This window comes from Homo sapiens, chromosome 20 (assembly GCF_000001405.40).
Source record: "Homo sapiens chromosome 20, GRCh38.p14 Primary Assembly".
In the NCBI taxonomy this organism is placed as follows: Eukaryota; Metazoa; Chordata; class Mammalia; order Primates; family Hominidae; genus Homo; species Homo sapiens.
In genome coordinates, this window is record NC_000020.11 from 56,338,466 (window position 1) to 56,356,384 (window position 17,919).

Genomic DNA, 17,919 nt, shown 5'->3' on the forward strand with positions numbered 1-17,919 from the left:
CATGGAAAGAAACAACCGGTACCCACCACTGCAAAAACATGCCAAATTGTAAAGACCATTGATGTTATGAAGAAACTGCATAAATTAATGGGCAAAAAAACCAGCTAACCTCATAATGACAGGAATAAATTCACACATAACAATATATTTTTTTTTTGAGACGGAGTCTCACTCTGTCACCCAGGCTGGATTGCAGTGGTGCAATCTCGGCTCACTGCAAGCTCTGCCTCCCAGGTTCACACCATTCTCCTGCCTCAGCCTCCCGAGTAGCTGGGACTACAGGTGCCCACCACCACACCTGGCTAATTTTTTGTAGTTTTAGTAGAGACAGGGTTTCACCGTGTTAGGCAGGATGGTCTCGATCTCCTGACCTCGTGATCCACCCACCTCAGCCTTCCAAAGTGCTGGGATTACAGGTGTGAGCCACTGTGCCCAGCCACACATAACAATATCAACCTTTAATGTAAATGGACTAAATGCCCCCAATTAAAAGACACAGACTGGCAAATTGGATAAAGAGCCAAGACCCATTAGTGTGCTGTATTCAGGAGACCCATCTCACATGCAGAGACACACATAGGCTCAAAATAAAGTGATGGAGGAAGATCTACCAAGCAAATGGAAAGTAAAAAAAAACAGGGGTTGCAATCCTAGTCTCTGATAAAACAGACTTTAAACCAACAAGGATCAAAAGAGACAAAGAAGGCCATTACATAATGGTAAAGGGATCGATTCAACAAGAAGAACTAAATATCCTAAATATATATGCACCCAATACAGGAGCACCCAGATTCATAAAGCAAGTCCTTAGAGACCTACAAAGAGACTTAGACTCCCACACAAGAATAATGGGAGATGTTAACACCCCACTGTCAATATTCGACAGATTAATGAGACAGAAGGTTAACAAGGATATACCAGACTTGAACTCAGCTCTGCACCAAGCAGACCTACCAGACATCTACAGAACTCTCCACCCTGAATTAACAGAATATTCATTCTTCTCAGCACCACATTGCACTTATTCTAAAATTGACCACATAATTGGAAGTAAAGCACTCCTCAGCAAACGTAAAAGAACAGAAATCACAACAAACTGTCTCTCAGACCACAGTGCAATCAAATTAGAACCAGGATTAAGAAAGTCACTCAAAATAGCACAACTACATGGAAACTGAACAACCTGCTCCTGAATGACTACTGGGTAAATAACAAAATGAAGGCAGAAATAAAGATGTTCTTTGAAACCAGTGAGAACAAACACACAATGTACCAGAATCTCTGGGACACATTTAAAGCAGTGTGTGGAGGGAAACTCATAGCACTAAATGCCCACAAGAGAAAGCAGGAAAGATCTGAAATCAACGCCCTAACATCACAATTAAAAGAACCAGAGAAGCAAGAGCAAACAAATTCAAAAGCTAGCAGAAGACAAGAAATAACTAAGATCACAGCAGAACTGAAAGAGATAGAGACACAAAAAACCCTTCAAAAAATCAGTGAATCCAGGAGCTCGTTTTTTGAAACAATAAAATAGATAGACCGCTAGCCAGACTAATGAAGAAAAGAGAGAAGAATCAAATAGATGCAATAAAAAATGATAAAGGGGATATCACCACCAATCCCACAGAAATACAAACTACTATCAGAGAATACTATAAACATCTCCATGCAAATAAACTAGAAAATCTAAAAGAAATGCATAAATTCCCGGACACATACATCCACCCAAGACTAAACCAGGAAGAAGTTGAATCTCTGAATAGACCAACAACAGGCTCTGAAATTGAGTCAATAATTAATAGGCTACCAACCAAAAAAAGTCCAGGACCAGATGGATTCACAGCCGAATTCTACAAGAGGTACAAAGAGGAGGTGATACCACTCCTTCTGAAACTATTCCAATCAATAGAAAAAGAGGGAATCCTCTCTAACTCATTTTATGAGGCCAGCATCATCCTGATACCAAAGCCTGGCAGAGACACAACAAAAAAAGAGAATTTTAGACCAATATCCCTGGTGAACATCGATGTGAAAATCCTCAATAAAATACTGGCAAACCGAATCCAGCAGCACATCAAAAAGCTTATCCACCATGATCAAGTGGGCTTCATCCCTGGGATGCAAGGCTGGTTCAACGTACGCAAATCAATACACGTAATCCATCACATCAACAGAACCAATAACAAAAACCACATGATTATCTCAATAGATGCAGAAAAGGCCTTCGACAAAATTCAACAGCCCTTCATGCTAAAAATTCTAAATAAACTAGGTATTGATGGAACATACCTCAAAATAATAAAAGCTATTTATGACAAAACCACAGCCAATATCATACTGAATGGGCAAAAACTGGACGCATTCCATTTGAAAACCAGCACACGACAAGGATACCCTTTCTCACAACTCCTATTCAACATGGTATTGGAAGTTCTGGCTGGGGCAATCAGGCAAGAGAAAGAAATAAAGAGTATTCAATTAGGAAGAGAGGAAGTCAAACTGTCCCTGTTTGCAGATGACATGATTGTATATTTAGAAAACCCCATTGTGTCAGCCCAAAATCTCCTTAAGCTGATAAGCAACTTCAGCAAACTCTCAGGATAAAAATCAGAAGCATTCCTTTACACCAATAACAGACAAACAGAGAGCCAAATCATGAGTGAACTCCCATTCACAATTGCTACAAAGAGAATAAAATACCTAGGAATCCAACTTACAAGGGACGTGAAGTATGTCTTCAAAGAGAACTACAAACCACTGCTCAATGAAATAAAAGAGAACACAAACAAATGGAAGAACATTCCATGCTCAAGGATAGGAAGAATCGATATCGTGAAAATGGCCATACTGCCCAAGGTGATTTATAGATTCAATGCCATCCTCAGCAAGCTATCAATGACTTTCTTCACAGAATTGGAAAAAACTACTTTAAAGTTCATATGGAACCAAAAAAGAGCCCGCATTGCCAAGACAATCCTAAGCAGAAAGAACAAAGCTGGAGGCATCACACTACCTGACTTCAAACTACACTACAAGGCTACAGTAACCAAAACAGCATAGTACTGGTACCAAAACAGATATATAGACCAATCGAACAGAACAGAGGCCTCAGAAATAACACCACACATCTACAACCATCTGATCTTTGACAAACCTGACAAAAACAAGAAATGGGGAAAAGATTCCCTATTTAATAAATGGTGCTGGGAAAACTGGCTAGCCATATGCAGAAAGCTGAAACTGGATCCCTTCCTTACACCTTATACAAAAATTAATTCAAGATGGATTAAAGACTTAACTGTTAGACCTAAAACCGTAAAAACCCTAGAAGAAAACCTAGGCAATACCATTCAGGACATAGGCATGGGCAAGGACTTCATGACTAAAACACTAAAAGCAATGGCAACAAAAGCCAAAATAGACAAATGGGATCTAATTAAACTAAAGAGCTTCTGCACAGCAAAAGAAACTACTATCAGGTGAACAGGTAACCCACAGAATGGGAGATCTTGGTTCACTGCAACCTCTGCCTCTCCAGTTCAAGCAATGCTCCTGCCTCAGCCTCCTGAGTAGCTGGGATTACAGGTGCCTGCCACCATGCCTGACTAATTTTTGTATTTTTAGTAGAGACGGGGTTTCACCATGTTGCCCAGGCTGGTCTCGAACTTCTGACCTCAAGTGATCCACCTGCCTCAGCCTCCCAAATTGCTAGGATTACAGGCATGAGCTACCACACCTGGAGAAGATTCTATTTTTAAACAGGACCAGAGATCATCTTGAACAAAGGAACTCACCCACTGGTACATATCTCAAGAGGAAAGCATAAATACACTGATGCACTTTGGCATCTTGAATTAATTTTTGTATAAGGTGTAAGAAATCATTCCATACACTCACATTCTATTAGTATTTATTCATTTACTAAGACTTACATATGCCAAGATTGCTGCAAGCAGCCAAACGAGATTCATTCCATTCTATAGACTTTATAGCAAGCTTGTCCAACCCACAGCCTGAGGGCTGCATGGGCTTTGAATGCAGCCCAACACAAATTCATAAACTTTCTTAAAACATTATGAGTTTTCTTGTGATTATTTTTAACTCATCAGCTGTTGTTAGTGTTAGTGTATTTAATGTATGGCCCATGACAATTCTTCCAGCGTGGCCCAGAGAAGCCAAAAGATTGGACACCCCCGCTTTATAGCATTGTTTGCAAACTGGTGATTGCCAGGGCCCCATGCAGCATTCAGAAATATTTGGTTTGACCTGTGGATTTTCTTTTTAAACTCACTGCCAACATTTAAAAATCAGGAGATTTTACATTCTTAAAACCCAGATATTCAGCTTGGATCAGTTAGCATTTTCTGTGTAACAACCAACCATTTACTCTCTCTTGTTTTTGTCATTCAGCAATTTGGGCTGGGCTCAGCCAGATGGTTCTGCTGGCCAGGGCCAGCCTGGCTGATCTCAGCTGGGCTTGTCCATGGGTTTGTAGTCAGCTGCCAGATCAGATGAGGCAGGCTGGCCAAGGGTGTCCTCGGCTGAGATGCTGTACGTGGTCTCATCTTACAGTGGACTAGTTTCTAAAGACAAAAGCCAAAGGGTGCAAGACATTTTGAGGGCTGGGCTCAAACGCACATGCCATCATTTCTGCTGTATTCTATTAGCCAGAGCAAGTGTTAGGCCAGCCCAGACTCAAGGGGTGGAGAAAGAGACTCCACCCTGGATGGGAGGGAAAGAATTTGTGGCCATTTTTGCAATCTACCATACAGTTATCTTAAGAGATCAGTGGATGTGGCCACCTTAGGCCACATGGCCAGCGGTATCCATGTGCTAGAGCCCAGAAGCAGCTTCCTTCCTTAGACGGGTGTGTTTCTCCTGCACAAGCCTTGTCCTCGCTGCTTCACTCATTTATACGACCATCTGGCCCCGTGGGCAAGGGAGGGCTTGCCATTCCTGATCCCAGAATGATCTCCCTCCTCAATGTATCCCAAAGCCATGCCCAGCCATGAACGCAATTGTTGTGCCATACCCAGAAATCACTTTTCACTTCTCAGAAAATCTCTCCCTCTACTTCCCCTATTTCCTTCCCCTGCCAATAGCTGGTGGAAGAATCTGCGGGAGGAGTAGGGAGAGGTTATTCAATAACCTGAGGATTTAGAAAAAGGGCAGTTTGGGAGCCAAACAGCCTTGGGTTCCATGTTGGTTCCACTCCACTCATAATCTCTCAGTTTCCCCATCTGTAAAACTACCTGCTGTGTTGCCATATTCCTCTTTGAAGATATTGTGTCAAGTCGTACGTAGTGCATAAATGGGGACTCATTTTGATGTAATGGAAAAAATTAAGAAAAAAAGAAAATAGAAGAGTAGTTAATGTCAGTTGCCTGTTTAGCTCTGCAGCGCCCAAGCCTGATGAATTTACGACAAGCTTCCAAAAAAGGCAATTGCGGCTTGCGGAGGGTCTAGAGGCTCAGTTGCCCGAGGCTGTCTTGAGGAGCTGCCTTTGGGACTCCGCGAAACCTCGAAGTCTTGGGCTGCGCCTCCCCTTGCGCGGTCGGAGCCTTGGCAGAGCCTGCGGCGCCACCTCGTGGGCGAGGCCGCCTGGTGCAAGGTCATCCGGTGCCGGGACCCGCTCCTCGCCCCGCCAGGACCCCCGCTCACCTCCAAGCTGGACGCCCGCGGAGCCCTGATCCCCTAACGCCCGCTTCCGAGGCCGAGCTCTGCAGCCCCCTGCAACCATCAGATCCAGATTGCCTTCCTGCACGAGCGCGCAACTCTCAGCCTCGGAGCGTGCTGGAAATGCTGATGGGAACCGTTTGAATGACCGGGCACGGGTCTGCAAGAAACTCAGCTCCCAGGCCAGCCGTGGCTCAGGAAGCCTCCCACGTCGGGTAGAATCCCAGGAATCCACCCTTGCCCCCATCCTCCCTTAACTTCCCCAAGCCTCAGTTCCTTCATCTGCAAAATCGAAATGGTGATAATTCCAACACCAATAGGGGTGTGACCATCTGCACCAAGCACTCAGAGCCTGGCATAGAAAGTGCAGCTCTTCTTATTAATTAGGCCTGAAACTCCTCTGCATAATAGTAATGTAATAATAGTAATGTAATAACAATAATAACAAATAGTAGTCTTCACTGTCATCATAGTAAATGGTAGCAGGTACATGGGCTATGCACTTATTATCTCCCAAGCACTAAGACTCTTCCGTGTATGGAATGTTTTTTGTTTGTTTTGTTTTTTTGAGACGGAGTCTTGCCCTGTCACCCAGGCTGGAGTGCAGTGGCACAATCTCAGCTCACTGCAACTTCCGGCTTCCAGGTTCAAGCAGTCCTCCTGCCTCAGCCTCCCCAATAGGTGGGATTACAGGCATGCACCACCGCTCCTGGCTAATTTTTGTATTTGTAATAGAGATGGAGTTTCACCATGTTAGCCAGGCTGGTCTCAAACTCCTGACCTCAAGTGATCCGCCTGCCTCCCAAAGTGCTAGGATTACAGGCGTGAGCCACCGTGCCCGGCTGGAACGTTTTTAAATGTCAAGCATTCCCATAAATTCAAGAACAGTGTTACCTCCATTTCACTGATAAGAAAATAAACTCAGAGATATTAAGTAATTAATCCAAGGTCAACTAGCAAGCAAGCAGGAGGACCAGAACTCAAATGCCAGGTTTTCTTCTTGGATACATATTGGCAGACCAAATCTCTCCCCACTTCCTGCCATTTTTCTTGGTTATCTATTAAAAAGGAGAAACTAAACTAATCAAGTGGCTTTGTTTCTTCTCCACCTGTCCCACCACTCCCGCCAACACCCTTCCATGACGTTCCTCATTGCCACGCTGGCAGGGTGGCCCTGGGTATTTGTCCCCATCTTATAGAGAGAACATGGAGAAGCTGAGTGGGGCTAAGGAGTTCAGATCACTCACTTGCCACACCCAGAAATCAGTAAGTTGTTGGGGAGTGGTGGGGGTCGAGCTGGAATCCAGAGCTCCAAGCCATCTCTCTCCCCAACACAGACCTGGGTCACAACCCTTGTGATCAAACCTGATGCTTTCCAAGGTATTGCCCTTTGCAACCTTGTGAGGCTGACTGAGGGAGGTTGCTGAGCAATGCTTCCAAATTGCTGAAGGATAAATGGGAGACAGGGCATACACACACACACACATGCACACACACACAGATATACACCACTCCCTGGTCATCTGAGAATCAACATCACCTTACAATGTCCCTGTGTCTGAGCATTGGCCCACAGTGTTGAGGAGCTGACTAGGATGTGATTTTAGAGAAGATTGGAGCCCTGGGTTCTCACCTGTTAGCTGCCTCCTGACACGTCCGCTGATGTCTCACACCAACCCTGGAATACAACTTGTCCAAAGGGACAATCTTGATTTACTTCCATATGGCAGCAATTCCCATAAATGCCTGACCATCCAGCTGGGTGCTCGGACGTGAAGTCTCTAGGGCCTCCGTGGGTCCTCCTTTCCTCGTCCCACCTCCAGGCCATCAACATTGTCACCACTAGAGCCCAAGTCACATCCTCTCTCACCCAGAATTCTGCACAACCCTCTCAATGGGTCTCCCATTTCCTGTGTTGCCTCCTCCAACTCATTCTCTACCCAGCAAGCGTCATTGGATTGTGTCATTCCCCTGATTAAAACCCCTCAACAGTTACCCCCTGCAGCTAGGCTGAAATCCACATGGCCATGAGGCCCTGCAGATCAGGCTTCTGGCAGTTTTTCCAAGCTGTCTCATGCTTCTTGCATCATTGCCACGCTGGTCTTCCCAGAGTGCTGCCCCCACCTCCCAATACGCCAAGTTCTCTTCTTCCTTTGGAAATGCGCCATGCCATCCCCATTCTTGGCAGCCTCTTCCCACTGCAACCCCTGTGCGCTCCTTCTCCCGCTGCACACAGCAAGTGCATCCTTCTGGATGAGGCCTTTCTGATCACCCAATGCCACCACAATTCATGATGCTTTCCTCACTTGGCTGTTAGTTTGTTGTGCATCACCCACACCCAACTCTAAGCTCCATAAGAGCAAGGGCCAAGCTGTCCACCCCATCACCCAGCGCCTGGCATAGCGCTGGGCAAATTAACAGACTCTATAAATACTTGAGGAGCGAACTAATGATACAACAGCTACAAGCCCTTATAGGAGAATCATACGTGCTGACAATCAATAATTCTTAATATATTTTATAATAATAATAGCCAACACCAATGTAGGCCTGCTCTGAGCCAGGCACTACCCTAAGCACTTTACATGTGTAAATGCATTTAACCCTCCCAATAACCCCATCATGTACCCAGTATTACTATACCCACCTTGGATATGGGGTGCTGGGTACATGATGGGGTTATTGGGGGGATTAAAGGCGTTCACACATGTAAGGAAATTGAGGCACAGGTTAAGTAACAGGCCCAGTGTCACACAGCAAGCAGGTGGTGCAACTTGAGTTTCAGCCCGAGCTTCACTCCAGTGTTCATGCCCTCAGCCTCTAGGCAACAGTGCCTAAATGTTCATCCACTAACGAAAGGGGTGAACCAACTCTAGCACAATGCAGTGCAGCCATGTAAAGAAAGATTAAGCTGCCGGGCACAGTGGCTCACGCCTGTAATCCCAGCACTTTGGGAGGCCGAGGCGGGTGGACCACTTGAGGTCAGGAGTTCAAGACCAGCCTGGCCAACATGGTGAAACCCCATTTCTACTGAAAATACTACATATATATATATATATATATATATATACACACACACACATATATATGTGTATATATACACACACACACACATACACACGTATATATGTATATATGTGTATATAAGTATATATACGTATATACATATATACGTATATGTGTGTATATATATACGTGTGTGTGTGTATATATATGTGTGTGTATATATATATATACACGTATATATACGTGTATATATATATACGTGTGTGTGTGTATATATATATATAGCCAGCCATGGTGGTGCGCGCCTGTAACCCCAGCTACTCGGGAGGCTGAGGCAGCAGAATCTCTTAAACCCAGGAGGTGGAGGTTGCAGTGAGCCAAGATCGCGCCCCTGCACTCCAGCCTGGGCGACAGAGCAAGGCTCCATCTCAAAAAAAAAAAGAAAGGAAGAAAGATTAAGCCCCTCTGCCTTTACCAGCATGGACAGATATCCCGATAGGACAGTGGGTGAATAAGCGAATAGAGATCAACATGTTTTAATCCCATTTGGGGGAAAAATCAAACAAAGCAACAACCAGGTATGATTGTTCATACGTAGCAACATGGCTGGAAACACACACCGCAAGCGGCTGACTGGCCACTGCTGCGGCCTCCCCTGGACCCTCCCTCCAGGCTCTGGGCAAGTGGTGCTCGCTCTTCAGTGAGACCCCGACTGCCCTTCAGAACATCTCCTGTCACGCTCCGGGCCTTTGCTCAGCTTCCTCATTATAGCACATATTTATTTGTTTAATTCCTGTCTCTGTAAGGGTGAATACAAATTGCGAAAGAAAAATAAAATTTTCTCTGATGTAAAAAGAGAAAAAGACCCCCTCTTTCTGTTAGAGCATTTCCTTGAGAAAACATGTAATTATCCATTCTTCCTCTGGCCTTTTGAGATGTAAATCTCTTTAAAGGCTAGATAAGCCTCTTGCAGGTTTTACAACCCAGGAATGTTTTTCTTACGGGTCTAAGAGCCTTCACTTTGAAATGTGAACATCAAGGAAGGTCGTCCTCCTATCTTCCAGTCTAGATGAGAATTAAATTTAGGTGACTAGCTGCAAGTTATAACTATGTCCTTGTCACAGAGATATAAGAAGTTTGTTATTCCTTTGAATAACGACAATTAAGAAGCACAAATCAGCCACCCCAATTACCAAGTGAATGTAAGATAAACTATGTGTGATAAATGTGCTGTCAAATCCCCTTGCTTGAGGGTTGCATATTGTTGATCTCGGGAACACGGATGTAATGGGTCGTATCTGCTTGGCTACATGAAAGGGTGAGATTTCTTGCTGTCTTTGCAGCTTTTGAGCAGATTGCCAGTGACGTGCATTGCATTCTGGCTTAATATTTACTCACTGATAACACTGTGTTCTTTCTTTTCTACTTTTGTGGAATGGCTTCCTGGCTTGGCAGGGGATTTTGTCTTTCATTATATTTCCTCAACATCTCTTCCTTAGTACAGCATAAGATCCATAGGCTTTTTGTCCTTCTTGTTCACAGCCGTCCCCAGCATTGTGCCTGGCATTGAGTAGGCATTCAAAACATGTTTATGGAATAAATAAATAAACCAACTCCCAATGTCGTTTGAATTTTTTCTTTAACAATGAGCAAGTCTCACTTATTATAATAAAAAAAATTGAGCTTTTAAAAACTCTACAATTGCTAATAGAACAGGAACTGGTTTGCTTTACAGATCAGGATTTCATTTCCTGTTAATCCCCATGCTTCTCAGACACGAGTCAGTATGCTTCAGATCGTTATTAGTAACTACTTCAGACATTGTCATTAGCAGCCTCTGCAGACATCATGCAAAATAAAGAATACCTTCAGAACTCACACTCCCAGTTACCTAGGTCCTTTCTAAGTACTGAGAATTTATCCCTTTCTATCTCAAAAGCACTGCAGAGAAGATTCTCAGAATGTTCAGTATCAGCACCTCAATCCTCCAATAAGCTACCAATTTTCAATTTTCACAGTGATGGGTTGTTTTTTTGTTTTTGTTTGTTTGTTTGTTTGTTTTGTTTTTGTTTTTTTTGTTTTTGGGATTCTTTGTGTTTTTTTTGTTTTTTTTTTTTGTTGTTGTTTTTTTTTTTTTGAGATGGAGCCTCGCTCTGTCACCCCAGGGCTGGAGCAAAGTGGAGCGAAGTGGCCAGTAGCGCTGCCCCGGCTCACTGAAGCCTCTGCCTCTCAGGCTTAAGTGATGCTCCCATCTCAGCCTCCCAAGTAGTGAATAGCTGGGGATTATAGGCGCCTGCCACCACGCCAGACTAATTTTTTGTATATTTGGTAGAGACGGGGTCCCGTCATGTTGTCCAGGCTGGTTTCAAACTCCTGAGCTCAAGCGATCTGCCCACCTCAGTCTCCCAAAGTGCTGGGATAACAGGCATGAGGCACTGCGCCTGGGCCACAGTGGTGTTTTTATAAGTAGCATCTCTCCCTGAGTGGTCTCATCAGATTGGACAGCTCAGGTCCTGTGCACTGCACCCCTGCACCCATCCCAAAGCCTTCCACACTCTTCTCAGAATGAGTGGATGAAGAAAACCAAAAATGGTCATAGCACATTCTATGGTTAGTTTCCAGAAGGCAGTGTGCACACCAGGCCCTGTACCAAGCACCTTAGGTGCATTAACTCGCTTAATTCTCACAACCACCCCATGAGTTGGGTACTATTAATATCCCCAGTTTACAGATGAGAAAACGGAGGCTCCAAGATGTTGAGTGACTTGCCTAGTCACATAGTTATTGGAGGCTAAAGTGGGGACACACTCTAGATGGCCTTGACCCCAAAGTCTCAGCTCTTAATCCAAAGCCATAAAATGCCCTTAGCCCCAAAGCAAGGAAACAAAAAAGAAAAAACTCAACCAGGCAGGAACCTGGCCAAGAGGAATCAGAATTTGTCTAAGTCACATTTTCTGAGTTCCTACCAAGTGCCAAGCATTAGCCTACACACACTAAAGATGTCACCCAATGCGAGCCACGCAACAGCACTGAGAGGTGTGTACTATAACCATCGTCATTGCAGAGAGGGGGCTACGAAGCTGAGCAAGGGAAAGGGATCTACTAGGGCATCACAGTGAGTTAGTGGCTAAGGCAGAATCCAATTCAGGTCTGTCCCTGTGGCCAATGTTCTTAGCCGCAACTCTCCCAAAGCAATGAAGGAAAACACAAATGACCATCCAAATCGGTCCAAGTTCAAACAGGGACAGAGCTCCCCCAAGGCAGGCTGCGAGGAGAAAGGGGTTGTCCTGAAGTGGGCGGTGGTAGTTATCACTGGTGATGTTCTCCACACCAGCTTAAGGGGCAGAGTGAGTCCTCTGTCCTGGCAATGGAGAAGCTCAAGGGTTCTTTTTGTATGCCATCTCGCGGACAAGGGCCACCGGCCTGTGTTCCTGCTCTGTCTTCTTTTGTGCCCAGCGCCTTGCAGATGCTCAATTAATAGTTGCTGAATTGCACACTGACCACAAGGAGGTGAAAAAAAATTTTTAAAATAGTTGCCGAACAAAGGAATAAATGTACATGTTCCCTTCTACAAGAGACCTATAGCTGGTGCTTCCACAGTGGCCAACTGAGAAGTGGTCTGAAGGGGCCTGGAATCCAGGTGTCCTCCTCTGCCCTCCTCCTTTCCATGTGGCCTACAAGGTCATTTGTGTGGAGAAGGATGAAGTGGGTCAAGGAGGAAAGCCTTGTGAGTGCTGATATCCTGCCTGTCCTGCACACATATGGTTGCTTTTAATCCTTGCAGGAAGCCACTGAGGCATTTGTCATTATTTGTATATTACAGAGTAAGAAATCTGAGGTTCAAGGAGTTTACATCATTTCCCTCTGGCCACTCAGCCAGTAGTTATGCCCTCTGGAAGGCAACTCTGACCCGTTTGCCTCCAAAGACCCTGCCAGTTAACCACAGAGGGAGAAGAATGAGTAGGTACTGCGTGATGGACACAAACCACACACATGATCAGCACACAGCAAGTATGTGGTGAATGAATGAATAAATGAGTGAACAAGAATATTTCAAGAAGAGGATTACTAACAGGATTTGTTATTACAAAACGTCATGAAAAATGGAGACTGGACAAAGTCTAGTAGATTTGACAGTTAATTTCAACTTACAGTAGCAAAAAAAAAAAAAAACCTGAGGAAATCACCTATATATCCATCTCCAGGAGATTAGATTAATCATGGTGTATCCATATGACAAAATGCTCTACAGATTTTAAAATAATGTTCCACAATTACGGTTTTGACAGGAAACACATTCGTGATCTTTAAAATGAAAACAGTGGCCGGACGCGGTGGCTCACACCTGTAATCCCAGCACTTTGGGAGGCCCAGGCGGATGGATCACTTGAGGTCAGGAGTTGGAGACCAGCCTGCCCAACATGGGGAAACCCCATCTCTGCTAAAAACACAAAAATTAGGCAGGCGTGGTGGCATGTGCCTGTAGTCCCAGCTACGCTCAGGAGGCTGAGGCAGGAGAATCGCTTGAACCTGGGAGGCAGAGGTTGCAGTGAGCCAACATCGCACCATTGCACTCCAGCCTGGGCAACAGAGCAAGACTCTGTCCTCTCTCCCAACTTAGCAGCTTGAAATGACATTTATAATCTCAGCTTCTGGGAGTCAGGAATCCAGGCATGGCTTAGCTGGGTGCCTGTGGCCCAGGGTCTCTCACAGGGTTGCAATCAAGGTGTTGGCTAGGACTGTGGTTATCTCAAGGCTCACATGGTTGAGGGGAGGGTTAATCTGATTAGCAGCTCACCTGAAGCGGCTAGCAGGCCTCCGGTCCTTGCGGGCTATTGCCCGGAAGCTGCTCTCTGTTCCTTGCCACATGGGGCTCTCCATGGGGCAGATCATGGACAAGAGAACCAAAGGGGGTGCCCAAGACTGGAGGAGCCACAATCTTTTGTAACCTCATCACAGTAGTGGCATTCCATCACTTTTCTGTATTTTATTTATCAGATGCAAAGATCTAGGCCCAACCTTGACCCAAGAGAAGGAGATTACACAGGTACATGAACACCAGGAGCTGAGAGTCACCAGCTTTAGGTTGCCTGCCAGAGAGCTCTGCCGGGCCCTGGATTTGGCATTAGCCTTGAGTGGGTGAGAGTCAATGGTCCCCCTTTGAATACCACTGAGAGTCCATCTGAGAGTTCAAGCCAAGCCAGACTCCCTGACTTCCTGGTGCTGATTGTCTGACTTGGGAAAATGATTTTCTCTAATGAAGTTTTCATGTTGCTTCTGTAAGAAAGAAAGTTGATTACCACTCTCAGCCATTGCTCAATTGCATTTGTGACATGGAGCTAATTTTCTTTGATGACACATTATTCTCTCACTGCCACGCAAGTGTGCTTCTCATTTGTAAAATGCTGTCACCTCATTACTTGGCCATTAGAGGGTTTTAAAAGTGGCTTTCTAGAAATTATATTTCAGTTTCCATTTCAAGTAAAAACGAGCTTAAGCATGAGACTTTAGTGATGCTATTTTCATATGCTTCTTTTGCCTTTCACCTCTAAAAGTCTTCCCAAGCGAGCTACATGTACTGCCTACACCTCAGTTTGGGTCAGTAGTTCTTTATTTCCTCCTTACTTCACCTTCCTCTCTGAGTCTATGTTGGACCAGATGCTGGGCAGCTGCAGAAATCTCATAGTATTTTCCTACATTTTTTCCAGGATGACACATAAAAGCCCAAGAGCCACGTGGATAACACACTTCCAGATACAGACAAAATAAGACACACACAAAATTACGGGATATAGTTCTTAACCACCACAGCAATAGTTCTTAACCACCACAGGCATTGATCACACATCAATTACAGATCAATTACAGATGCCCACTACAGGGTGCAGAGAGATGAAATGGCACATGTGGGTGTTATGGGCATGAAGTCTAATTGACCAGCTTCGTGGTGTATGAGCAGTCAGGATTTTTTTTTTTTTTGAAACTAAATTAAATCACAGTCATCTAATCTGTAATGGCCAAAAATTCCATCCCTGTACCATGCACCACCCTCCATGGGTCAAGCAAAGATGTTGGGGTTTCATGCTGGACAGAAGATTCTAGAATGATTCTGTCTGGACTCTACACCAGTAATGGTGGCACCAAGGGGTGATTTGAGATATGGGGGAGCTAATAGGTGTCTATTTTGTTATTACGTATATCTTAAGTATACACATATGCTATACATTATTTGTTTTTTTAAAACTGCATCATAAAATGTTAAAATTTTAAGATCAGTTACTATTTCAAAACCTATTATCCCATCTAGGTCCTCAGAGTCCCACCACTGTGCCCCTCAGCAGGTGCCCGCACACATGCATGCACACACCCACGCACACACACGTGCCCCTGCACACCCCCGGAGATTCAGCTCTAAGAAGTGAATAAGCCACTTCCCACCACTGTCCCTGCCTTAAACTGGAGGAACCCACCCCCTCCTGCTGCTCCTGCTTCTCATTCCCCAAAGGCACTGCCCTCTCTGGCTTTCTCCTTCCAAGACATCTGGAGTATTCTCCTCAATTTGCTTAAACTGCTGCAAAAGATAGCAAGAGGGACCATCTGTAAGCAACTTCTGCTTTTAGCTCCAGAACACAAAGAAGCTCAAAACTGAAAACTTAGACAATATAAAAGACTAGGCTGGGCAAGGTGGCTCACCCCTGTAATCCCAGCACTTTGGGAGGCTAAGGCGGGAAGATCGCTTGAGGCCAGGAGTTTGAGACCAGCCTGGCCAACATGGTGAAACCCCGTCTCTACTAAAAATACAAAAATTAGCTGGACATGGTGGCACGTGCCTGTAATTCCAGCTACTTGGGAGGCTGAGGCATGAGAATCGCTTGAATCTGGGAGGCAGAGGTTGCAGTGAGCCAAGATTGTACCACTGCACCCCAGCATGGGTGACAGAACAAGACCCTGTCTCAAAAACAAGAGACTAAATGACTACCTAACAAATAAGGCTTTTTCATGGCATGTGTCAGTATAAGTCTTAGAACTGACAAGAAAAAACCTTTACAAATGCACGAAGTATTTCAGCAGAAATTTCACAGAAAAATAAATCCAAATGGCCAAGAAATATACAAAAAGATTCAAGTACATAAGTAATCAAGTATGGTAGACAGAATAACTTTCCCCTAACAAAAGATGTGCACGTCCCAATCCACAGAAACTGCGAATGTGTCATGTTACAAGGCAAAGGAATGAAGGTTGCAGATGGAACCCTGTGACCTTCAAAAAGTTCCTTTTGGCCTGGCACAGTGGCTTACTCCTGTAATTCCAACACTTTAGGAAGTCAAGTCAGAAGGATCGCTTGAGGCTAAGAGTTCAAGACCAGCCTGGGCAACATAGCACCCATCTCTATAAAAACTAAAAAAATTAGCAGGATATGGTGGCATGCGCCTGTAATTCCAGCTATTCAGGAGGCTGAGGCAGGAGGATTGCTTGAGCCTTGGTGGTTGAGGTTGCAGTGAGCCATGATCATGCCACTGCACTCTAGCCTGGACAACAAAGAAAGACTCTGTCTCAGAAAAAAAAAAAATAGAAGGACACTGTTAAATAGGCAGTAAAAATCACCATGACAACTCAAGGGAGAGAGATTACGAAAAGAAGAAAACAGCTTCATATTTTAATACCTTGAAAGGCACTTCTTGCCTGCTTTTTTAATTATTATTTTTTATTTTACTATTTTATTTTATTTTGAGACTGGGTCTCACTGTCGCCCAGGCTGGAGTGCAGGGGTGTGATCATAGTTCACTGCAATCTCTGCCTCCTGGGCTCAAGCAATCCTTCCACTTCAGCCTCCGGAGTAGCTGTCACTATAGGCGCTGTCACCCCTGAGACAGCAAGAACAACCTTTCCTCTTCCTTTTCCTCCTCAGCCAGCTCAATGCAAAGATGACAAGGATGAAGACCTTTTTTTTTTTTCTTAAGATGGAGTTTCACTCTTGTTGCCCAGGCTGGAGTGCAGTGGCACGATCTCGGCTCACCACAACCTCCGCCTCTTGGGTTCAAGGGGCCTCAACCTCCTCCTCAACCTCCTGCCTCAACCTCCTGAGTAGCTGGGATTACAGGCATGTACCACCACACCCGGCTAATTTTTTGTATTTTTAGTAGAGACTGAGATTCACCATGTTGGCCAGGCGGGCCTCGAACTTCTGACCTCAGGTGATCAGCCTGCCTTGGCCTTCCAAAGTGCTGAGATTACAGGCGTGAGCCACCGCGCCTGGCCTTATATGGCTGCCTTTAATGTCAGATTCTCAAGTTAAGATCATAAAAGTCAGTCCTACATTTCTCTGCTAAAGACACCATTTAGAGTCGGGGTAAATAGACACTCTTGGCCAGGCGCAGTGGCTCATGCCTGTAAGTCCAGCACTTTGGGAGGCCGAGGCGGGCGGATCACCTGAGGCCAGGAGTTTGAGACCAGCCTGGCCAACATGGTGAAACCCCGTCTCTACTAAAAATACAAAAATTAGCCAGGCGTGGTGGTGCACTCCTGAGGTCCCAGCTACTCAGGAGGCTGAGGCAGGAGGATCACTTGAGCTTGGGAGACAGAGGCTGCAGTGAGCTGAGATCACACCACTGCACTCCAGCCTGGGTGACAGAGCAAGATTCCATCTCAAAACAAACAAACAAACAAAAAACTCTCATTTGCTGTACTCTGCAACCTTTATGGAGTGAAATTTTGCCATTTATTCAAATTTACAAATACACATATCTTCTCACTAAGCAATTTCACTTTGAGGAATTTATTACACAGGCATACTTAAACACGGCAAGTGACAGAAATACCCGCTGGTTCATCACAGCATGGTTTATGATCACAAGGACTGGAAAATACCCTAAATACCCTAATGGTCCACCCACAAGGGATTGGTTAAAGCATTACAGCACCCTGGAATACACTGGAATGCTAAGCAGATTTTAAGAATAAGGAAGATTTTTGTGTACATATTCAGAAAACTCTAAAATATAATGGAAGCAAAAAAAGTCCAGGTGAAGAACACTGTGTATACTATGCCCCACTTGGGTAAAAACAGCAATGAAAACCGTTCATAGGAATTTGCCTGCACACATGTAAAATTTTCTAGAAGGATATGCACAAGCAACGGGTAACAGTGTTTGTCTCTAGGGAGAAAAAAATGAGGAGAACTGGTCACTGGGATAGGAAGGAAGCTTGTCATTGTGTAGACTTTTTGTACCTTTA

The 17,919-nt window shown here is 44.7% G+C and overlaps 1 annotated feature.

Annotated features, from left to right (window-relative positions):
• Positions 5,488 to 5,782: a silencer, noted in NCBI's record as "tiled region #10041; K562 Repressive non-DNase unmatched - State 4:PromP". NCBI's record gives its function as "represses a minimal TATA promoter and a strong SV40 promoter by Sharpr-MPRA in K562 cells {active_cell/tissue: K562}" and the evidence as "EXISTENCE:reporter gene assay evidence [ECO:0000049][PMID:27701403]".